Genomic DNA, 25,616 nt, shown 5'->3' on the forward strand with positions numbered 1-25,616 from the left:
AGCTTCTGGAGGGCACAGACCATATCTTCTACTTACTGAAGTCCTAGAAGGGACTTAAAAGATCCCTGAGAGAAGTGCTCCCCTAGCTGATTATTGGTATCACCTGGGAGCTTTTTAAGGCTCCATCTTAACATAATCAAATTTTGCTTGTGTTTGGGGGTAGGGGAAGAGTGGGTCAAGGGTGTGTGAGAATAAGCTATATTTTAGTTTTTTTTTTGTTCTTTAACACTTACTGTGCAAAACTAATATGGTACCCCCTTATATGTTTGGATTGGCATCTATTGTATACATCTTCCTTGTTCTTCATTCAACATAGGACTCTATGGTTTCTACCACTTCCCACGAACCTGAATTAAATTCTGAAAAGAGGGATAATGTATTCTGAGAACGGACAGCAAGCCCAGCTCAGTGTCATGACATTCTTCTGTAGAACTTTCCTGCTTACATTTTCGAAATTGTGCTCTGATGGCTCTCTAGTATCCTGCTGTGTACACTATGGGCTGGAGAACAAGGATCCTAAATTTTACTGTATTCTTTCTCCACAGAAGTTTACGAAGACAAAAGAGGAATGACGACTCAGCATATTGTAATGTATATTCAATATGTGCTTTGCTAAATATATTTGAAAAGTATATAGGTATATTGAAAAAGACCATGTCCAACTGAAAATGCCCAGCTAATGAAAATAACATTTTTCTTCCTACTGAAAACTAAGGTATAACTTCAGCATTTGGTGTCAGAAGTTATTCAGAAAAAACAAGTTAAACTTTTTAAAGGATTTTTATTCCTTCGTAAGTCTACTGGAAAATTAATCATACAAAATATAATGGAGCCAAAAAAGCATTTGCAAGAGCACAGATGCATGAATATGAAACATTACATTTTCCAGGCAGTGTATTTCCTTATCAGAGCAAACTCCTTCATGACTAAAGTGGTCATTTTTCAACAGTGATGGGTGACAAAGGCTCATATTTTCCTATGTTTTAATCTTCTTTTGGAGCTGACTGTGGAAGCAGGAAATGTGGGGGGGGTGGAAGTGGGGGAGAAATGCCCCTGCCCCTTTGCTTTGTAGCACATGTGGCACAGGAGATGGGGCATTTCTGAAGGGCCTCTTTCCCTTTCTTTACGGAAGTATCTATAAACACTGAATTGAATATTGAGATACTGGCATGCTGCATTTCAACCATCTGTCTAGTACAATAAATTGCCACATTGATTAGAATGTTTTGGTCCTGTGTGAGGAAGGAGGTAGGAACAAAAGCTCGAAAGTCCTTGTCTGCCTCAGACTGTTCAGGATGGGCTTAATTTGTATGGTGCTCAGGAAGCTCCATTCTGGGGCTGTGCCAGCTGTGACACAGCTCTAGTGGGAGCAGCTCGTGTGGCAGCATTTCAGTGCCTTGCACCCCAAAGCAACCACTGCTACCTGTCTCCTTGGGAGATCTGCTCAACTTCTGTCTTCTCTTGCATAATGAATTTTAACATAGATTTTTAATTGTCACAACCTGTTTCTTGTTCCATGCTGTTCCTTTTTATTTTTCAAAAGCATTCTATTGTTTTTAAAAATATTTTCTTATCTCTTGGAGCATAATAATAGAGCTCTGCAAGTATTCTTCTCTTCCCTCAATTAGCTCTGCCTTCTTTTTGTATCCTGCCCCCATCCCCACTCTGTTTTGGTCTCTCTCTTCATTTTAGAAGCATTTCTCAAACATCTGGTGATCCTTGCCTATTCATTCTGAGAGTAGGGCATTGAAAAACTGTTAGGAAAGTCTCATCTGAGGGTGAGATTTTGCTGACTTTTGTGATTGTGACCTGGACATTTCATTGCAGAGGGGAGAATGCAAAATGTCAATATATTTAGGTTTTTCTCTTGAGTTGTAATTTTTCTTAGAATTGTCCAAGCTACTGGCTGTGGAGCACATGTCTGGCAGCTTTGCCTTCTGTGAGTTAACTTGAGGAAAAGAACTAGAGGCTGCATATTCAGCATGTGGATTTTCACTAAATTCCCATGCCCTTAAAGGTGTCTGATACCTCCAAGGAACTTGTGAGCCTGAGGAATTTGGCCTGCCATTGTAGATAAAGCCTTTTGAAAAAATTAGTTCACAGCAATTTTAGTGGGGCTGGGAAGAAGTGAAGATAAATGTATGTTCAAGCTGTGATGTTTAATTGGAAGTCCAAGGTTGATTTTAAGACATATGGAAAATTCACTTTTTCTAAATAAAATTTCTGTAAGAAGACTTTAGATACAGTTTAGATATAAACAGTTTGAATAGCAACTGATCTACTAGTGACTTTCTAGCACCAAAGAACTTTAAAGTAGTTAAGAGGGCTCAGAAAGATGAATTGCTGCAAAGACCTCTGGCCAGGGATATGTGGCAATGAGTTTTCGACTAAGGATATAATTTGGGACATGAAAGAAGTTGAGCACCTTCCTACTCTGTATCTGGCATGTAAGGTCTTAGGCTTATTTCAAGTTGCATTGTATCCAAATTATTTTGTCTTTAGCTTTCCCAAGGCTGACCTCCTTAGAGGAGTGGAGGCAATACTTAATGCTTGTCAAAGCCCTTTCACACATGTTAGATGTTGAGGATTTTTTATTTCTAAAAGATAAATGTGTAACATATTTATAGTTACTGCCACAATATTTTTCAAAATCACAAATAATAAATTGGTTACACATCACAGTCTTATGAGATACTCTCTTAACAACAGAGTAGGTAGAAGTTGGAAAAATAGCTCCTTAAACAGAGTGTCATCATCCTTTATTCTGGGGCTGTTATCCTCCATCCCTTGGTCTTTTAGTTGAACCCAGAGCAGAGTTCCCTGTTTGGACTTTAAAAGGGTTGAGATTTCTTGATCCCAAATTGCTAAACTGTTTGATGTTATAATTTAAGTCTGTCTTTAGAGCAGACAGAATTGCATCTCAGAGGATTGTTTCTTTGAGAACAGACTTGTTTCCTATGCATAGATTTGGACTTCCTTATAGCCATGTATTCGTGCTCTTGCTCTGGATAAATCCATGTGTATGTTTCAGCAGTGGCTGATGAGAGTGGAAACTGAGACCTGTCATGACTGGAAACATGTGCAGGTCTCACTTGACCTTATGTGGCCTGAGTCTGATGCAGCCCAACACAGGCTGGACTGTTGATGTCTCAAATCTCGCATAATTCAGGAGTGAATAAGCCAGAACTGGAAAATACATTGCATGAACTCTTGTATATTCTGGGGCTCACTCTACAGAAGGTCACAGAGCAGACCTCAACCTGGTGGGGTTTCCCCCTGGAGGGGGTAGGCAGGTCTCAGGTCATGGAAGGAATGAACTTATTTTCCTAGGCCTTGCGATTAGGAACTTGTTTCACTGAAAAGCAGGATATTTTAAAGAACTCACTGGGGTATACGTGTGGTTAGGAAGCAGGTTCCTAACACATGGACTAGCCAGGAGGAGTGCTGTCATGGACCCTTGGGTCTTGGTAGGTTTTGAGTGCACCATATCTAAAAGCAATTTCAATTTTATTGCCCTATTTCCTTTTCTTTGATCCTCCAATTATCCCCAAAGCATCAATAGACTCTTGCTGACCTGTTCTATTCTAACTGGGACTTGAAGGAACGACTGTACCCAGGCTTCAGGTGAAGCAGTCTCAATGAGAGGAGCTGCCTGAGGGAAACATGTGGAGGTGGCAGGGGGTCACGCATGCTGGGGTGAGCGGTGGTCCACAGAGAGGGGCCTGGAGCTAGGGGGCTCACTGAGGTGGGACGTGACAATCAAGATGGCTTTGGAGAACATGAGAGCATTTCCCAGGGAGTCCAGAATATTTGGGGATGGAAATCTGGTAAGGACTAAACTTAACCAGTAAGATGGGATAAGAATCTGAGATATTATAATTTGAGAGTTGACTCATGGAATGTGTGGACCATGCTGGTTACATTGATGAAACACATTTGTAATTTTTATCTATCCCTTTTTGCTTTTTAATTAAAAATATGCCGTATTCTTTTGATGTGTACTCTTAAATCCTTATTAACAGATGCAAATCATGATTCTTAATGACTTATTTCCTTTCCTTTTTGAATGAGATTCTGACAATGTCATCCTTTGTCTTTTGTCTGATCACACTTGTGTACCCTCTCACCAGTCACAAATCCTCAACACATGGCTCCAAATTCCCCATCACCTTTGAAGTAGCTGTTGTTGCTCTTTCATTCTCATCCTAATCCTCTCCTCTTGAACAGGTAGTATATTCCTCCCTTTCCTGAAATGGTGTTGTTTTATATCACACAGTTAACAGAAACTGTATGATATAAAATACAGTTCTTTTGCTATCTCTACTCTTCCCTAATTCTCAAGAGTTTTCTTGATGCTTCAGGAAGTCCCAGAAGCTCCACTGACCCTGTGACTTTAATTAGAATATCAGGACCTGCTGATTGTTGTCAAATGTATCTGCTGGATCTCTGGTCAGTTGCTATTACCCTTCTATGCTTCCCAGTGTGTTTTCTTCTGCTCTGGAATCTTACTGTCAGCACTTCATCCCTAGGCTCAAGAAAGCAGAATGAAACTCATCTCATAAAATGTCTGGAGAACCCAGCCTAATCACTCCATTTCCTTTATGTAGGTATAAACCTTTGTAATAGTTTTTCCCATATAATTCTCCTGGTTTTCCTTTTCTCTTTCTCTATTTCTCTCTCTTTAGTCGTCAAATCTTTGGTTCCTGGAACAGTGCCTAGCATATAGTAAGTGCTTAACAAATATTTATGGGATGAATAAATAAACCTAAACTGAACCAGAATCTTAGTCCCAATTTTAATTTCTAAAGAAAGAAGGAGACCTAACTTGATAAAAATTTAAGAATAGATCAGAATTCTGGAACTCTTCCTGTTAAGTTTTATTCTGCTGCCTGCCCTCAGGAACTCCATGTGTCTCCAATGTGTCCAGAATGTTGTTCTCCAAAGCCTGCCTCTTTCACTCAGAGTGATTTCCCAGTAACTATTCACTACTGTATGTCAGGAGCTGTGTGAGTGCTTTGCAGGTCCTATGTAGCTAGATTCCCACAACAAACTTATGAGGAGGTGATATTCTGATTTACAAAGTAGACTTGGGTACAGAAAAAGCTTTGGCCAAGAATCTACATCTGGGAATCTTGTTAGGATCTGGGATTTAAATATAGGTAGAGTAAATCCATACCCTCATGGTATGCTGCCATCTCTCCCTGCCCTAGGTTCCAGAACATTCTTGATTTCTTCTCTCTTCTTCAGAAAGCCATCTCTTTCCTTAGTGTTAACATTAGACAAACTATCTGGCTTATGCAGTAAGAATATACTTATGAATAATTTATTGTCTTCAGCATTGAGGATGTGATGCTGGCATTCTAACCATTGTGATGCCTTTTGTTTTGTGACTATGGTCTCATAACTTACTATTCTGTACATTTACAAACATTTATGTACACATTTATGAATATTTATGCTTATAAATAGTTCTTACTAAAAAGATGGCTTTTACATAGACTGTGTTATGTTGGTTTGTCATTTCTTCTGCACTTGCCACACCACTCACCATTGCATTTATTGAACAGCTATTAAGAGCCTGACACTATGCTAGACACTGGGATTACAAAGATTCTCAAACATGGGTGTACAAGTCCTTCCCCAGTTTAAGTTTCTTTAATGTCTCTTCATTTTCTTAAGATAAATTGCAGACACCTAAACATGACTTTTAATGATGTGGCTGCTGCCCCTCTCTCATTTCGTCTCATTCCCTATTTCCTTTCTCCATTTCTCATTTTCTCTCTTCTTATTCTCTACGGTCAACTCACCTCCCACTGCCCAAATAAATGACCTCTCCTGAAATACTTGCAGTCATTCCGGTCTCTAGGTTTAGCACTCACCATTCCTCTGCTTGGAACACTATCCTTTACATCGTCAAAATTGATTTTAGTTTTCAGCTTAGATAGCATTTTCTGCAGGAAGCTTTTCTTATCCTCAGAGTCTGGGTGAGGGGGCACTTCTCAAGACTCCTGCACACCCTGTGCTTTCCTGATTACAGACAGGCAGGGATCCACTTTCTCTTTTTCATCATTTTATGACCCCAGCCAGCATAGCACCATTCCAAGCAGAGACAATGGCGAGTGGGGTGGTGAGAGGCTGGAAGAGGAGGGTGTGTTTGGGAAACTGCAAGGATTTTGATTTGGACTTTTGATGCCCCCCCTTTTTTAATCAGAGGAAAGCATACCATTTCCTTTCAATTAACTGTTAGTATTAGCTTGATTTATCTTGCTGGGGTTTTTGTTTTCCTTTTCTAGAAGGGTAACAACTCAGGAGCCCTTCTTCTCCTTCGAGGTCAAAGTACACTAAAATCCTCTAGAGAGCAGATGGAATTAGTGACGGAACATAACGTATTGTTTGCAAAACTCACTGCTTTATCACAGAGTTTGGAAGCTTGTCAACTTCAAAATCCCTTTGTTGAAAGTTATGTGTTCCCCAAAAGAAAAAGAAGCCACCCTGGAATCCTGTGGATTAATCACGGGGAGAATGAAGCTACCATTGAGTCCCTGTATGTGTCCAGATGGAGGTTCCAGCTGTTTTAGAAGCCACCAGCTGATTGTTATCTCAGCCTTGGATGTTAGAGGCAGGATCAGAAAGTGTAAATTCCAGACAAGGACTTTGGGACCCTGGAACAGTGAGTATCCCTTCCCCGTATTGGTTCTCTAGCAGGCGAGGATACAGGGAGCCATTTGTTTTCTTTTTCCCCTCTGTACAACTGACCCAGAAATGTTTGGCTGTACTTCATACAAAATACAACAATAAAGAGTTATTTTCTGGCCACTTGCCACTGGAGCCCCCGCTTTTCCCCAGAAGCACAGAAGGAAGGAGCCCAGGTGATGGCCGTCAACCCTGAAAGCCGGGCACCAGGATACCCAGTTTGCAAACTTGCGCGGGTCTCACTTCTGGTAGGAGGGGATATGCCTTGGGTCCTGGACACACAGGATGATCCCCCTGCAGAGGGGACCAGGGATGCCTGTAAAGATGCTGAGACCAACAATGACAACGAGTCCACATCAACACAGGGAATTTCTGAAGAAACAGACATGGTGATGCCACGTGGGCTGTTAAAGAATGTTTCTTAGGAAGCTGACTTTCCAGAAACACATGACATGGAGAAGCATCAGAAAATCTCCACAGAGAAAAAAATTAAAGGAAAAAGATGAGAGAAGCCACTATGCAAGGAAACCCTTCAGATGTGAGGAGTATGGGAGGTGCATCAGCTTTTTCTCTTAGTGTGTCAGACAACAGAGAATCCACACTATCCATGTAAGGAGTGTGGGAAATCATTTAATGGCAATTCTTCATTGATTTGTCATCAGTCCATATTGGAGAGAAATCTTATCAGTGTGAGGAGTGTGGGTGAGCTGATAATAATAGTCAATCTGATGAGTCATCAGAGAATCCATAGTAGGGACAGACCCTAACTCTGCAAGAAGAGTGGAAATGGCTTCCCCAGTAGTTCCAAATTGGTTATACATCAGAGAATCCATACTGGGGAGAAGACCGATGAAGGTAATGAGTATAGAAGAGATTTTGCTGTTAAATCCACATAATGTCGGCATCAGAGGATCCACAGTGGAGAGAAACCCTGAGTGTAGCCAGTATGGGAAGATCTTTAGGACTTTCTCCCATCTGTACCATCTAAGAGAAGCCTGGGCTAGATCTTAGTTCTTTTGGGGTCCCAGCATTTTTAACCTCCTTTTCATGGTAATTATTCCTACTTCTGATTTTTTCAGTAACGTGAATCAATAAATTTCAGTGGGTGTTCTTTCTTTAAAAAGTAATTTCCTTGAACCACACATCTTACATGCTTTAATTTCTGAGCATCACAACAAGATCTGTGCACATAATGGATGTTATGAGATAAACATTGGGAGTTTTAATTGCAAAACTAAATTTTATACATGGTGGGTCTTTACAGTTTGATACTTACGTTTGACTTAAAAAATAGTATTTTTTATTTATCACTTCTCATGACTCATCTGTGAATATTCTGGGTGAGAGTGAGAAATTTAAATGGTGTAGTAGGGGAATGTTATGTGGTAGTAAGTATTGCGTTGTGACTGTCAAATGTCATCAGCTTAACATCTGATCTGATTCCTGCTTTTAGCAGGACAAAAGTAGAGCTACAGAGGAAAAAAATGCCAATCAGAAGAAGTTCTCTCCCTAGCTTCTTTCCAGGAGGACCCCTAGAACTCCACCTTTGATTTCTGACTGCATTTTTCTTAAATTCCCCAGCAAATCCAGGAGTGTGTGGTGCATCTATTCTCTTTGCTGCAGTTGATGGTATCTTCCCAATGCAGGGGTGCACCTGTGGCTCCCCCTCTCCAGAGCTGCCTCATCACATTTCTCTCTGCTTGATGCCTGCTGCAACTGCCAGGGACTACAGTCAGTATAACCACCACACACAGCGTCAAGACCACGGCTGCTCTCCGCATAGAATCTGCCCAATAAGCCTGCAGGAAGAAGGAGGAAAAAAAAGCAGTGCTCAGCTGAAAATAGACAGTTATGATTATATTATTTGGACCCCCAGAGCCAGTCGTATCTGAAGCAAACCCTACCTATTAGTCTGTTACGCTCACGCTTGCTTGAATGGCCTTTTTACTACCCTCAAATCTCAACTAATGAAGGTGCCAACACATCATCTCATGCTGTGGTCATAAAAGAAAAACAACAAAAAAACCCTGACTCTTCCTAGAAGTTGAATGCTTATCTCTTGCTAGTCCCAACTAAGTTGCATGGTAGAGGTGAAAATCTGTTTTCACCTCTAAGCTCTACTTTTGTTCTGTTGGCTTAGTTATTGGACACTAAGAGGCTCAAGACTGACATTTTTCCAGCTTCAGTGCCCCAGCAGAAAGAAAGCATTTTTTTCTTAAAGCACTGGTATAAAGATTCCAAGATTGGCTTGGCTCCAATCAGAGACCAATCCCTGAAGCAATCATGGTATGTAGGTTTCTTAGTTCACTTGTGCCTCTCTAACAAAATACCACAGATTGGGTAATTTATAGCAACACAAATGTATTCTTACAGTTCTGGAGGCTGAGAAGTCCAAGATCAAGCACCAGCAGATTTGGTGTCCGGTGAGGCCTGCTTTATCAGTGGCAGCATCTTCTCATGGTGGCATTCTCATATGGCAGAGGACAAAAAGGGGCCTAAGCTAATTCCCTTAAGCCCTTCTATAAGGCACTAATTCATACATGAGGGGGAGCCCTTGTGGTCTAATCACCTGCTAAAGGCACCACTGCCTAATAACATCACAGTGGGGATTGTTTCACCATAAATTTGGAAGGGAAACATTCAAACCATAGCAATAGGATGAACGGAGCCTCTGATGGGGCAGGCCTGATCTCATGCTCATCCTTGGAGTGATGGGGTCAGCACCATCAGAACAGAAAGATTTATGAAGAAAAGGATTATGGGAAAATCTGCCCATTGTTCACTGTAGGGCTACTCCTTGCCTTAATCATGGGCATTGGGCAAGGTTTTTGGGAAATTCACAAAGACTCCTTTGCTTCTGGGGAAGAGAGGCTATACATCAGAGTTGTGATATGGGTGTATGGTGAGATCCTATTGGGTTGTGCTCATATGAAGTTGGTCAGACTTCCCACAGAGTTGGTAGCCACTGATGGTAAAAGCCCTGGGGATGGGTGAATATAAGAGAATCTGACTTGGCATGTAAGAAGTATCTGATTCATGTTCCCTCCCTATGGAAACCTTGCTTGCAGAGTGATGGTATGCTTGTCAATATTCTCTGATGTACTTCTATGAAGTAGACAGGTAAGCTATTGAGGAGGTAAGGAAGTTGAGGACACAAAGTTGAATTATACACGGTAGGTTTTTCTCTCAAGGAGTTTGAATTCAGACATATCCTCACTTGACAGGTAGGAAAATGAAATGAAAAAGAAATGGTAATTATCTCTGAGCCATTCAACTAAAACATGGCAAAGCTGGACCTATCAACAAAAATTCCTAGTTTCTATTCCAAACAAACTCTACTGCTTTTACTAATTATTGAAGTATTAAAACAGCAAATGACTGGCATACCTAGTCATGAGTCACCAGAGTTTCAAATTTAAACAATGCCATATAGTCGGTAGTGATTCGTAAATTCTTCTGTGATAACACTGTATAATTGAAGATACACCTGGGATGGGGCTTTTTGTTACACTTGCAGCATGTAAAAGGAATGACAAATTTATCGTCAAATAATGTTGATCCCTCTAATTAAAAAACAAAATGACTAATTGTGATATCTTTAGAAAATAGTTATACCAAAACATGCAAATAAATAACATAGTATGTAATCTTTTTTTAACCTTAATATGTCATGACTACCTTCGTACACCATTTAATATTCTTCTACATCTTCATTTCAATATGTAGTATTCCATTATGTGATAACATAATGTATTTAACCAGTTATTTTTGGACACTGATTTTCCCAGTTTTTCACTGTTAAAAATGATGCTTTATGAAATAGCCATAGAGCTCCATCTTTGTGAAATACATGATTATTTGTTTGTAATAACTTCAACATGAATTCCTGATGCATATGCATATCAGCATGTGAGACTGCTTATTTTTTTCCATTTTGAACCCTGTCTATTATAACTTTAAAATATTTGCTCATCTGATGGGAGAAAAATATAAACCCTCATTTTTGAGTACAGGAAAAGCTTTCTTTTACTAAGACTCCAATCCAAGTAAGGATAAAGTTAACATGTTTACCTGGCTCTTATGCATACTCATTGCAGTATATTTGAAAAATGGCCACAATTATTTTTTTCTTCCCTATATCCAACATTTTTGTAGTGTGATTTTGCAGTATCCTCCATCAAGGGGTGAAGTCTATTTCCTCAATACGTGAGGCTAGACCTGTGACTTGCTTTGACCTGTGGAATACAGCAAACAACAACAAAAAAATGTTTTACTGTGTCTGAGCTAGGCTCTGTTTGCTTTCTTGGAACCTCATGATCGTACTGTATAAATAAATCTGGACTGCCTAGGGGATGGTGGGAGATGCATGGCCCAAGTATTCTATCACCCAGCTGTTATCCATTCAACTCCCAGAAGCAGAGTTACATAGCTGATATGATTTTTCAATTAAAATATCCAAGCTCACAAATATGTGAGTGAGCCCAGCTGAGATCAGAAGAGCCACTCATGTAAACACAGCCTAAATTGGTGACTGTAGATTCATGAGAAAAATAAGTGATTATTTTAAGTAAATTTTAAGACCGTTTATTATCCAACAAAAATGAACAGAAATACAACACCTATTTAGGTGGAGAAGATACATTCATACTTACTGAAAGATTTTCTTAATTAAAAACAGGAAGAATGTTTCAATAACAAAGATCAAATCATTAGAAGCATAGTATTTATAAAGTGATGAAAATACGTCTTGAGTTCTATTGGTTATTAAATTTATGAATTGATGTTTCCTGTAAATACCTTCTAGAATTGTTATAGATGAGGAATTCTGAGAGACTGTAGTTTAGTAGAAAGGATCCCTTGGATGAGAATATGACTATGGAGGGTTTAGTTTTAATTCTGCAACCAGAAATCCATGTGAGTGGAGACAAGGTATTTTATTTCTCTGGATTTCAGTTTGCACAACTGCAATATAAAGAACTTGTAATAACAACAATAGCTAAGATTTATTGACTGTTTATTATGTGACAGGCACTGCTTTATGGACTTTCACATATCTTATTTCTTACAGTTGTGCTTTGACTTCTATCTGTAAAAGTATAATAATAGTGCATTCTTTGTTGTGAGGCTTCAGATTGCTCTAATTAGTCTCTGGGGTTTAACAACCCTAACAGTCTAAGACTAATCATTTTTCCTTTATAAGGCAATGCAATTAATCAGAATACTTACTTTGTTTTCATCTAGCAAATTGATTGCTATGTAATTATGAAGAGTTTTTTTTCTCCAAGAGATCCTTGTTGCATTGGGGATCTTTCAGGACAGAATTTCTTAAGCTCATGCCAATAAGTCTTATAATATATTTAAGGGAAGACATAAAGATAAATAGTAGATCAGTAGTATATGGATAAATGGAAGGTCAAGGCAATTTCCAGGCTGGGTTTTGAGAACAGTCAAAATGTTCAGGGAAAATCTAATAAATTAAAGTCATACAGATGGTAAAAGTACTGACTATTCTGAGTGACTTTCATATCAACAGATGCTAAAGTAGGGGCAATTTTATACCAGAAGCAGCCTGTCAATTGCTATGCTTCTTGCAGAACACAAACCTAGCCATAAAGAAAAAATTTGATTCATGGACTCGGTTATAAAGTTAAAAATTTCTTTATCAACAGATGCCATTAATCGACTAATAAGGCCAACCATAGAAAAAATTTGCACTACCTGCAGGTACTAGTATTCACAACACATAGAAAGCTCCCACAAGTCAAAAGAAAAAAACATGTGAATAGAAAAATGGGCAACTAAGACTTGATCAGGCACTGATAAAAATGAATATCTAAATAACTAATACATTTTTTAAAAGGTACTTGAACTCATTAGTTATCATGGAAATTATATTAAATCACAATAACCAGAATGGCTAAAATGAAAAAAGACAATACCAGATGTCTGCAAAGATACAGGGTAACTGGAACTGTCATACACTGTTGGTGGAAGTGTAACTTAGTACACCGCCTTTGGAAAGCTGCTACACTTGCTAAAGGTTAAGGTGTGCATACCCTCTCACCCAGTTAGTCTACTCTTAGTTATATACCCAACAGGAAATGAGTACCTTATGTTCACCAAAAGACATAAGGGTATTTTTAGTAATACTATTTGTAATAGAACACAACTGGAAATAAATAGAACAAAACTGGAAAGAAACACAAGTAGGTAAAGAGCAGCATAGTCATACAATGAAATACTATATGCTAATAAGAGAATAGACTACAGCTACACACAACATGGATGAATCTTGCAAACATGTTAAGTAAAAGCCTCCATGCACAGGAGAGTACATGCTTCATTATTCCATATATAAAGTACAAAAGCAAGCAAACGTAATGATGGTGTTAAAAGTCACTGGAATGGTTATTTTGGGGAGGAGAGTAATGGCTGTGAGGGGCAAGTATTTATCTTAGAAATTTTAATAACTAGGAGATGGCATGAATAGAGTGCTAAGATCTCATGTTCTCTCTTCCTTTCTAAATGGGAATTATACAGGTGTGTTCACTCAATAGTTTTTGAGCTATTTGTGATGTGTATACTTTATTATACTTCAATAATTTTTTTCTAAACACTCTTCCAAAAGGCTCCTGCAACTGATAAATGACTTCAGTGAAGTTTGAGGATACAAAAATCAATGTACAAAAATTAGTAGTATTTCTATATACCAATTAACATTCAAGCTGAGAGCCAAATCAAGAACACAATCTCATTTGCAATAGCCACCAAGAAGAAACAAACAAAAATCCTAGGACTACATCTAACCAAGGTGAAAGATCACTACAAGGAGAACTGCAAAACACTGCTAAAAAAAAAAAATAATGGATGATGCAAACAGAAAAATACTTCGTGCTTATGGATTGGAAGAATTGGTATCATTAAAATGGCCATACTGCCCAAAGCAATCTACAGATTCAGTGCTACTCCTATGAAGCTACCAACATCATTTTTCACAAAATTAGAAAAACATATTCTAAAATTCATATGGAACCAAAAAGCCGGAATAGCCAAAGCAACCTTAAGCAAAAAGAACAAAGCTGGAGGCATCACATTACCTGACTTCAAATTATACAAGGCTACAGTAACCAAAACAGCATGGTACTGGTAAAAAAAACAGACACATAGACAAATGGAACAGAATAGAGAACTCAGAAATAAAGCTACATTCCTACAGCCATCTGATCTTTGACAATGTTGACAAAAATAAGCAACAGGAAAATAACTCCCTATTCAATAAATAGTGCTGGGATAGCTGGTTAGCTGTATGCAGAAGAATCAAACTTTACCCTGACCTTTCACCATATATAAAAATTAAGATAGATTAAAGATTTAAATGTAAGACCTCAAAGTACAAATCCTAGAAGAAAACCTAGGAAACAACATTCTGGACATTGGCCTTGGGACAGAATTTATGGCTAAGTCCTCAAAAGCAGTTGCAACAAAAAAATTGACAAGTGGGACCTAATTAACTAAAGAGCTTCTACACAGCAAAAGAAATTATGAACAGAATAAAGACAACCTACAGAATGGGAGAAAATATTTGCAAATTATTCATGTTACAAAGGTCTAACATACAGAATTTATCAGGATCTTAAGCAATTGGATATGAAAAAATCAAATAACCCCATTATAAAATGAGCAAAAAACATGAACAATTCTCAAAAGAAGACATACAAGTCTTCTTGGCCCTCTCAGCCATTACCCTACTCCCCAAAATAACAACTCCCCTGACTTTTAAAACCATAGGTTAGATTTGTTTGCTTCTGCACTTTATGTGTGGCATCATGAACCATGCATTCTGTTGTGCCTGCATGTTTTTACTCAAATATAAAAAAGCCCAACATCACTACTCATTAGAAATGCCAGTCAAACCATCTCACACCAGTCATAATGGCTATTATTAAAAAGTCAAACTGAAGCTGGTGAGATTGTGGAGAAAAGGAAACACTTATGCACTGTTGATGAGAATGTAAATTAATTCAGCCACTGTGGAAAGCAGTTTGGAGATTTCTCAAAGAACTTAAAACAGTTACCATTCGACCCAGCAATCCCACTACTGGTTATATATCCAAAAGAAAATAAATCATTCTACCAAAAACACACACACTGTAAGTTCATTGCAGCACTATTCACAATAGCAAAGACATGGAATCAACCCTAGGTGTCCATCAACATTGGATTGGATAAAGAAAATGTGGTACATATATACCATGGAATATTATGCAGCCATATAAAAGAACAACTAAATCTTATCCTTTGGAACTAAATGGAGCTAGAGACGAACATCCTAAGTGAATAAACATAGGAACAGAAAACCAAATACCCCATTATTTTCACCTATAAGTGGGAGTAAACAATGGTTATTCATGGACATAAAGATAGCAACAATAGACACTGGGGACTACTGGTGGAGGAAGGGTTGAAAAACTACTGGGTACCGTGTGTGGGCAACCATACTCAAAACCTTAGCATCACACAATATACCCAGGTAACAAACCTGCACATATACCCCTTGAAACTAAAAAGCTGAGATAAAAAATTTTATTTCTCAAGTAATCTAACCTGGGAGTTGTGAGAAAGCTTCCCATAGCACCACCATGGAGTTGTAGATAACAGTGGTACCTAGATACAGCAAAAATAGAGCATGCTGCTTCGTGAGAATGAAGAGCATGTGGATGTTCAGTACTAAGGCTTCAGAGGCCTTAAGTTCAAGTGACCCAGGAAAAGCCAGGCCAAGGCACTTTTGCTGTGGTTGATGCTGCTGCACGCTGGCAAATATCACAGCCAGGGGATCCCTGGGGAGCTATGGAACTGAAGGTGTGTGAATCCTGTGAATACCGACAGCAACAGTGAGATCTGAATGAGTTAGCATAAATCAAAGGAAGCAGGCAAAGAATCTGAGTAGGAGACCTGGGTTCAACATCCAAATACATGAAGCAAGTAAAAGGGCATCAATAGGAATACAGATTTGCACACAGGCAGGAGTTCCTGTACCAGGGAAACAGGTGGTGGACAGGGCTCAGACCAGAGGGTTAGGGAAAATACATCCCTATGTAAGATAAATGCTGTGGCTTGCCTGTTGATCCAAGGACAACAGCTGTCTGCCCAGGTAGGTGCAAAAAGTTTCCTTCTTGGTGTGGACAAGGCTGTTATACTTCTCAAAGTGAAGCAAGAATCACCAGGGACCTGGTGGCTGAAGCACAGAAAGAGGGTAAGGGCCCCTGGGGAGAACTCACAGTTCTAATGGTTTTAGCGATTCAGGAAGGAAGGATGGTTATTTCTTAGAATTCTGTTAGTGGTAAGGGAAAACTTACTGCTGTGTGGGTGCTGTGCAAGATAATTAGAACCAAAATCATTTAATTGGAAGATATCCTACCTTCGCTGCTATGGCTTCTTGTCTAAGAACAAACAACAGTTGGTCCTAAAATGTGAATCGTGATATGGCCTGGATCTGTCTTACTAAGCATGAACCAAGCATGTGTTAGGAAATGGCAAGTAAAATACTAATGCTTAAATAATACCTCATTTTATGCAGCATTGGTATTCTTTTCAGAGAACTTTCACAAATCTGATCCTATCTGAAACTCAAAACATCAGAGGGAGGCAAGGCCTTTATTCCTACCCTCCTTAAGAGATGAGTCAGCTGAACCTCAAAGAAGAAAACATGATCTAAAGACACGCACAAAACTGGTGAGCTCAGGTCTCACATTCCTGGTTTAATGCTTTCCTGCTTAAGCTGTGATGTATGCTGGATGTGGGAAGCTAACTAAAGGAGGCATGGAATATTGAGGATTTTGTTTTTTTAAAGGAGATTTTACATCACTGATGTAGGACTTAAATGGTAGGCTGACACCTGGGCTCGATTATTTTTTGGAGCTCTGTTTTCTAGGAACAAGCAAAAACTGGATTTCCTCAATTCCTAACACTGGTTGTGTTTCCACTGATAAAAGCTCGGAGCCCCTTGCTGAAAACCCATCACACAGAATAGTGCTTCTGAAAATTTCATGTGCATAAGAATCATCTGGAGGGGTGGTGGTGTTAAAATGTACATTATAATTCATAGCTCTGGCATGATGATCAAGACTGTACTTCTAGTAAGCTCTTGGGTGATGCCAGTGCTGCAGGTTTGAAGAATACATGTGGAGTAGCATCTTAGTTCAGGCTGCTATTATAAAGTACCTTAGGCTGGGTAATTTATAAGTGATGTAAATTAATTGTTAATAGTTCTGATGGCTGGGAAATCCAAGAACAAAGTGCCAGCAGATTGTTTGGTAAGGGTTTGTTTATGCAGCATTGGTATTCTTTTCAGAGAACTTTCTAAGTAGTTCTTAGAAACTGCTTCTTAGAACTTCTTACTTAGAATCTGCTTCTAAGATGGTGCCTTGTAGTGGGTTGTTACATGATGGAAAGGGTGGAATATTCCCTTCAATCTCCTTTGTAAGTACATTAATACCATAATCTAATTACCTCCCAAAGGCCTTTACACGTAATACTACTGCATATGGGGTTAAGTTTCAACATAAGAATTTGGTAGGTATAGGGGCATGGCACAAGTGCTCAGACTATAGCACTCTGTTCCTAGGCCTCCCAAATTTGTCTTTGTCATATGCAAAATACATTCATTTAATCACAATAGCCCCTAAATCTTAACTTGTTCCAGCATCAGCTCAAAAATTTAAAATTTGGCGTCTCATCTAAATCTCATATAAAGAGACGTGGAAAAAACTCAAGTTACAATTTATCCTGAGACAAACAGCTCTCCAGCTGTGAACTTATAAAATTAAACATGTGATGTGCTTGCAAAATATAATGGTAGGACAGGCACAGAATAGACATTCCTATTTCAAAAGGGAGAAATAGGAAAGAAGAAAGGAATACTCAGTCTTGACCAAATCCAAACTCAGTGGGGCAAAACATTAGATCTCATGGCTACAGAATGATCTTCTTTGACTTGAAGTTCTGCCTTTCAGACACACTGGTATGGGAATTGGGCCCCCAAGGCTCTACCTTCTGGTTTTTCTGGGCACAGTCCAAGTTGCAGCTCTTACAGGTTGGAGTCTCTTACCTGTGGCTCTCCCAGGCTGGAGTTTCATACCAGCAGCTCTTTCAGTGTGGGACCCCTTCACCCGAAAACAGCCACCAGGGTTGGGGGAGGTTGGTTTTTGCCTCCATGGTTCCACTAGGCATTGCTCCAGTAGGAGCTTTCTATGGGGCCTCTGCCTCTGTTGCAGCTCTCTGCTTGAGCCCTGAGGTGTTCTCCAGGGTATCATTTTGAAATCTAGGTGGAGAGGGCCAAGCCCCCATAGCTGATGCATTTTGGCCCCTGGTGGAGATGGCACTGTATAGGTGCTGCCAAGGTTTACTGTCCCCAGAAGGGGTGGCCTGAGCTGCACCTGGGCCAACTTGAGGCACAACAACCTGGGCAGCCAAGAAGTGCTGCACTGGAATTTGGGGAGTGGAACCTTGAAATTATTATTCCCAAGGCCCTGGAATTCTGGGGCTGAGATGGGTAGAGCAGCCTCTAAAGATCTCCAAAATGCTTTGTGGGCCATTTTTCCATGTCTTGATGAAGAGTACCAGACTTCCGCACATCCATAGTAATATCCTTATCACACAGCTGCGTGGCCACACCCTTGATGATCTTTCCTGAATGCACTTTTACATTGTTGGCAACATGGCCAAGCTGAGAATTTTCCAAATCTTTAAGTTTTATTTCCCTTTCGATTATAAACTGATTTGTTTCTCCCTTCTCACCTTTTGCTATAAGCAATCAAGAGAAGCCATGACGTACCCTCAATACTTAGCTTAGAAATGTCTTCTACCAAATATTCTAGTTCATCACTTGCAAGTTCTGCCTTCGGTAGAACATTAGTACATGAATACAATTCAACCAAGTTCTTTGCCACTCTACAAGGATTGCCTTTCTTCTAGTTTCCAATAACGTGTTCCCAATTTCTGTCTGAGACCTCATCAGAATGGCCTTTACCATCCATATTTGTACAATATTCTTATCACAGCCACTTAAGTAATCCCTAAGAAGATTGAGGATTTCTTTACGGCTCTCCTCTTCTTGTGAGTCCTCAAGAATTGTCCTTAGTCCTACATTCTTGGCAGTGGACTTCAAAACTCTTCTAGCATCTACTCATTACCCAGTTCCGAAACCACCTCCACATTTTTAAGTATTTGCTACAGCAGCACCCCACTCTTATTTCCAATTTCTTAGTCTATTTGGGTTGCTATAACAAAATACCATAGAGTGGGTAGTTTATAAATGACATAAACTTCTTACTCACAGTTCTGGAAGCTGGAAAGTCCAAGAACAAGGTGGCAGCACATTCAGTGTCTGATAAAGGCTCACTCTCATTCTAAGATGCCACTTTGTTGCTGAATCTTCACTTGGTGGGAGGCGTGGAAGGGGTTAGGGTGTACCTTTCAACCTCTTTCATAAGGGCATTAAATTTCATTTACGAGGACAGAGCCCTCATGACCTAATCACATCCCAAAGGCCCAGCTCTTAATACTCTTGCATTGGGGATTAAATTTCAACATATGAATCTGAGAGTGGGGCACCAACATTCAAACCATAGCATGTAGGTAGTAAGGACAGCCTATGTTCTTGTGATCACTGAAGATTGCTTTAGTGTGATGTCTTAGGGATTGAGGCTTTCAGAAACTGCTATTTATCTGACTAGAAATAGGCCAAGGTCTCCACATAAAGCTACATTTAAGTATATTTAGAAAAATCTGAGTTCTGGATCCACATTTTTAAAAGCATTGAGAAAATTTGATTTTACTTTATTTTTCCCTGACTCGTAGGAAGGAGAATTAATGAGTTGGATGCTTCATGCATTCATTCATAGAATGCCTATTGTGTGGCAGTCACAATTTTTGACGGTGGAGATAGATCAAATAACAAAGTGGGAAATGTCCTTGCCCTCATGAAGTTTACAGTCTAGTGCGATGGAAAGTAGGGCTGAGTCAGATAAATTGTGAATGTGTGATGCATAAGATAGCAATGAGTGATACGCAGAAAAATATTTTTGAGAAAGGAGAGAAGGGAGATGTGGCATAAGATGTGGATTTTTAAGTTTAAGTAGAAAGGTTCATGGAGAAAATGACATTGGAACAAAGACAAGAAGGACGTGTGAGACATTACACTGTGGGGTTGTCTGATGGAAGATCATTCCAGGCAGAGGGGACCACAGATACAAAACCCTTGAGATGGGAACATGCATAGCATGTTTAGACTAGCAAAAGGGCTGATGGTGTTAGAGCAAAGGGGTGTGGGGTTAAGGATGAGATGAAGATGGGAAGAAAGTAGGACAGCTTAGACAAAGCCTCCTAGCCCATTGTGTGGACTTTGACGTTTGCTCTGAATAATGTGGAATGTCCTTGGATTGTTTTGAGCAGAGGGGAAAGAATGATAGGCTTTGACTTACGTTTTAAAAGAATTATAGCACTTGGGTAAAAAATATAGAAGATAAAAGTGGAAGCAATGATACCAGGTAGAGGGCTATTTGTCAGCTAGGTGAGAGATGAGGCTGGCTTGGGCCATGGTAGTTACTTCTCTGGTGATGGCGGATATCTTTAGACAGATGTGATTTTCATGTGTGTCTTGCTGGGTTGATGGGAAACTAGGATTTATTAATCTGGGTGCTTGACCCAGGAACTCCTGGCAGTTGGTTGTCAGTTATGAGTGGGTTTTGTATTTTTTTTTAAAGCATACCACTTTATTTTGTCTTTACTGCTGTATTATCACTTTATCACTTAAAAATTATAAAATGTTGAAAGTGATGGTATTTGAGGTTAAATTTTACTAATACAGACTTCACAACAATTTAGCAGCTTGTATTCCATTTTTAAGTTTTATATCACAGATGGGTGTCTTTCCATTAAAAAATAAATCAGGAGTGGCAGCATTGTCAATGTTATTTTTCTTATAATTCTAACTAGAGTTAAATATAGAAACTCTTCTGAGAATTCACTATTCCAGGAATGGCAAACATGCAGCAAATATTGTCACTCTACCATTTTCTCACCAATGGCAGACATTGCTAGATGATCACAGCATTCTCTTCACTGAGTCCCGATGAAACATTGGACACTTTATCAAAACAACCACTGATAGATTAGAGTTGGCATGAGTTAAAACCTATTTGCCATTCCTGTGAGTAATCACTCCTCCTGACAGCTTAATAGGATTGGAGAGGAAGCCTTATTGCACAGTGGTGTAGCTGGAGTCAGACTTCATCTTTGTCTTGTCAAAATCCTGTCTTGTCACTTGCTAGCTCTTCAACCTTGGACCAATGACTTACCATTTCTGAGCCCTAGTCTCCTCATCTATAACATGGGAGAAAACAATACCTATCTTATAAGGAACAGGAGATGTAAATAAAATGATACCTGCAAAGTGCTTAACACAATGTCTCACTTAAACACTTAATCTCAAATGATACAATTGGCATTACAGTTTAATTAATAGACTTTAAAAGACTAATTTCTTGAGACCAGAAAATTTACAAAAGTATTCTGGCTTTGCCACCTAGCCTTTTTGTTTAAAAAACAAAAACAAAAACAAAAACAAAAACTTTTTATCTTGCAAGTATGTCCATATCTTTTCAAGGAGAAGAAACCTTCTTTGCAAATACTCCCAAGCCCACACGGGTATTATTGAAGCCCTTTATCCTGATAGATTTCACTGGGTTTAGGGGTTGGGTGGGTTCAGCGTCCAGGAATAGGAGAGTTGTGAGACACATGGTATAGTAGGAAAGCCATGGCTGGAGGAACAGACTTTGGTCATGTGGTCCTATGTCTTCCATTTTATATTGAAACTATATATGGACATTCGCATAGGGACAAGACACATTGGTGAGGTGGTACCCAGTGACATGTCTTCTATTTTCAGGTTCACTATGAATGATGCAGGTTTTTGTCTTTTATATAGCTTTTAGAGTGATTACTCGTGACACTATTCCTTTTTTTTTTTTTTTTTTCCTTTTACTTTTGAGACAGAGTCTCACTGTTTGGCCCAGGCTGGAATGCAGTGGCACAATCTCGGCTCACTGCAACCTCTGCCTCCTGGGTTCAAGAGATGCTTCTGCCTCAGCCTCCGAAGTAGCTGGGACCACAGGCATGCGCCACCATGCCTGGCTAATTTCTGTATTTCTAGTAGAGATGCGGTTTCACCATGTTGGCCAGGCTCGTCTTGAACTCCTGACCTCAAGTGATCCACCCGCCTTGGTCTCCCAAAGTGCTGGGATTTGGTTACACTATTTCTGTGGGGAAAATCTGTCCAAAGTTCCAAAGGACTTTAGGTACTTTATAGTACTATAGTAGCAAAATCCATTTCCTTAATTTGGAGTTTGCTTTTTTTGTTTTTTTTTTAAATTATACTTACGCTGTACTACCTATGCACATGAATACCAGGCTATTGTCAAGAAAGGTAGCATTAAGTAGCACCAGTCTGACCCTGGCTCCCTTGAGTTGCATCTTCAATCTCTGTACTGCAGAGGAATCCTTTGAGTGTTCTCCTGCCAAGTTGAGGGAGGCATGTCTGGGTGTCAAGTACCGGTGCTCAAAGGCTGTTCATGAAGATCCTTTCAACAGTATTATCAGAATTGCCTTCTGTGTATTTAATACAACTTTTTTCAATGATATGTTGTAGATGAATTAGTTTCATTCTCTGAATGACCTCATCAAATAAACTAGAGGGCCTTTATTCTGGCTTTATGGTCGCAGAGGGGTATTTTCTACTGCAGACAGTAATATTTCATTGGGCCTCACTATGGCCTAGATCTTGAATGGATGACACATACATACCACACACACAGACACACACACACACACACTCTGGAACTTTCCTGGCCCTTCTTCTGCCAGTGGCAGACAGCACTAATCGATTAGGGTTTTTGTTTGTTTGTTTGTTTTTTCTGAGGCTGAATGAACTTTAAAATCCTCCCAGTGAGACATAAGTAGGTGATGGGAGATGGCACACAAAGTAAAACCTACTTGTCGTCTTTGGCCTAAGTTAAACTTGCTTGTTTTTTAATTCATTCCATAAATATTTTATTCTGCTTTCTATTCTTGAACAAAAGTCTGCTATTAGTCTAATTGTTTCATTTTAAGGTATTCTAACTTTTTTTTCCTGGTAACTTGGAAGATTTTCTTTTTGCATTTGTTTTCTACAACTTTACTATGTTGTGTCGAGGTGTGGATTCAGTGTTACGTATTCTTCTTGGGATCCACTGTGATTTCTGAATTTTACGATTCATGTCTTTTTTTCTGTACTAGGCCATTGTAAGCTGTTACTTCCTTGAAACGGCCTCTCATCATCTATTCCCTCCTTCTGGAACTCCTAGACATAAATTCAAACTATATAGTATTCACTTCTCTTCCATGCTTTTTCTTTTTTATATCTCCAATGACTTATTTGTTTAATTTTAAACTTTCTCAGATCTATCTTCTAGTTCATTAAGTCTTTCTTAAAGTATGTTTAATTTGCTATTAATCTATCCACTGTTTTTAAATTTCAATGCCTATATAAATTTTTTTTGATAATTGGTGATTTAATTCTTTCTCTTGTTATAGAATGCCTCATTCTCAGGTCTTCAACTTTCCTTTTTATTTAATAATATTTTATATATTTCAGATTACATAATAACCGAAGTTCTGCTCCTGAATTTTATTGTTCGTTACTTTTATGGTTTTATTCTTTCCTTAGGATTTAGATTCTTCGTTAAGTGTATTTAATAATTTTGTATATGTATTTTTTATTCTTTCAGATTGTCATACTAGTAGCCAAAGTTTTGGGAATATTATAACTCTAGCTCATAATAGATTGTTTCTTTGTGTGTTTTGTAATTTTAAATCACAGTGTAGATTTGCAGATGGGAAGTCATAGCTCAGGTTGAGACCAGGTCCTTTCACAACAGGTTTTCCTTGTATTCTTGACAACCATTGTAGGGACTTCTTGAGTGTGATTGATTTCTATGAGTTTGTTGATTTGGAGATTCTAGGGCAATGCAAATTTGAATTACAAATCCAATGGAAGTACAGGCCTGGGCTTTAAACTCTTAGAGATAATTTTGTTTGTTTTTATCCATAATCTAGCAGAGAGATGTTTCCCCTGTTGGTGGGAATTTATTTTCTAGTCAAAACTTACACTAAAATTGTAGCCCTGCCTGGATCTTAACCTAACCCCACCTCTTTACACTGGACCATGGCCTTCTCTATTTCTGCATGGACCTTGGAATTCTATCCTTTAGCTACCACCATTTGTCACTTAACTCTCCCAGGGATACCATAGCATTAGCAAAACGTATTTGGTTTTCAATGCTGCCTTCATTTCTGACATTTGGGCATTTGCCATCTTTCTTGGCAGCTCAGCTATGCATCTTAGAGTGTTATTATGTTACATCTAGCATATCTAGGTGTTTGTAGTAGGAAGGTTTTCAAGTTCTCTTATTCTGCTATCATTTTACAACCAGAAGCTCTGGACTGCCATGCATTTGTTGAATACTAATTAATGCCAGGTACTGAGCTTAGTAGTAGGGACACAAAGATCTGTGAGACATACTCTCTGCTCACAAGATGATAGTCTAGTGAGCATGGAAGGTAGCCATGTAATTTTTGGGTAACATAATTGGTACAAAAAAAGATACATATACAGTACTTTCAAAACAAAATAGAGGCCACTCAAGCTTATGGGTGAGATCAGGTCAGAGAAGGCTTCCTAGAAGAAGAGATACTTAATCTGGTCCTGAAATATAAATAGGAGTACATCAGGTAAGGGTAGTAGAGAAGGGAGGAAAGTGCATGGTAAGCTTGAGAGAACTACAAGATTGGAGTTCAAGGAACTGACCACATCTTATTTGTAGACCCAACAACAGATTTCTGATTGAGCTCTTCTGATACCTTAATAAGAAGACAAACACAATGCGATACAGATATAGCATTCTAGTTATAGGAAAGATATGGTTACCTGAGTCCTCTGGGGAGCAGATGTCAAGAAAGAATTAGAAGTGTAAGAGATTTCTTGGGAGCAATGTCCATAAAATACCAAGTAGGGAGAGAGCAGGAGAAGGCAGGCAGAGCTGTCAGTCTGCAATACAGGTCTCACATTTGTGAAATGAGAAGGGAAGAAAGGAAGATTGGGTAGGAAGAGTCTTAGATTCTGGTGCAACTTTGAGAAAATATTTGCCAAACTAATGGGGAGCTCTAATGCGTTGCCCACAGAGGAGTCCACATTGGGCAGAAATGACCAGGTCACAGTATTCCTGCTGAGTGCTGTGCTCAGTAATTAGCTGGGGCTGCTGGGTAGAAGCACAGCCTTAGCGCAAATGCTGCAGCAGATCTCAAAGGTCTAACCACACTCCTGGTGGTGAGTCTTCTCTTGAATCTCCATGGCTACCACATCCCCACTTGGAAATTTTATAATCTGGCCTTCTGGTTTATATACAAGTTTCATGTGAACTTAATTAGGTACCTATCACTAAGCATCTGTTCATTTCTGAGTTTCCAGTACCTAGGGCTGTAAGGTTGAAGATAAGAGCCATATCATGACAGATTTTTCCAGTTAATATCTAGTGGGTTTTGGACTTAGCATCCTTTAAACCTGCCTGTTTATGGCAAAAACCTCTCTGCCTCATTGTGCGTCATATGCCTGCCTTATTTTTTTTCTTTTGGTCCTAAATTCATTCCTTTCTACTGTATTGTTTTATCCTGTTGATCCAGATAACATTTTCACTCCAGATACACTTGTTGACCTCTGTTCATCTAGACTGGAGAAGGTGGCTAAAAATAGTATAATTAAAAGTACTGTGAGAATGATTATTCATAAAGGGATTTGAGTGATTTTATGAAAATATACATTAATATCAGAA

General features: G+C 39.1%; 1 long non-coding RNA gene and 1 pseudogene across 1 annotated transcript in view, besides 1 other annotated feature; both read left to right on the forward strand.

The window, feature by feature from the left end:
- The window catches only part of SLC8A1-AS1 (SLC8A1 antisense RNA 1), a 337,576-nt gene that overhangs the window by 4,670 nt on the left and 307,290 nt on the right, over positions 1-25,616 (forward strand). The window contains exon 2 of the long non-coding RNA NR_038441.1: positions 546-586. This is a non-coding gene — a long non-coding RNA (SLC8A1 antisense RNA 1). The remainder of the gene's footprint in view (positions 1-545; positions 587-25,616) is intronic.
- On the forward strand, positions 6,891-7,671 carry LOC100419512 (zinc finger protein 19 pseudogene; annotated as a pseudogene).
- Positions 15,640-16,839: an enhancer, noted in NCBI's record as "P300/CBP strongly-dependent group 1 enhancer chr2:40165083-40166282 (GRCh37/hg19 assembly coordinates)". NCBI's record gives its function as "activates an origin of replication core promoter dependent on BRD2, BRD4, P300/CBP, MED14 and CDK7 cofactors, with strong dependence on P300/CBP, by STARR-seq in HCT116 cells {active_cell/tissue: HCT116}" and the evidence as "EXISTENCE:reporter gene assay evidence [ECO:0000049][PMID:35650434]".

The sequence above is a fragment of the Homo sapiens genome, chromosome 2 (genome assembly GCF_000001405.40).
Source record: "Homo sapiens chromosome 2, GRCh38.p14 Primary Assembly".
In the NCBI taxonomy this organism is placed as follows: Eukaryota; Metazoa; Chordata; class Mammalia; order Primates; family Hominidae; genus Homo; species Homo sapiens.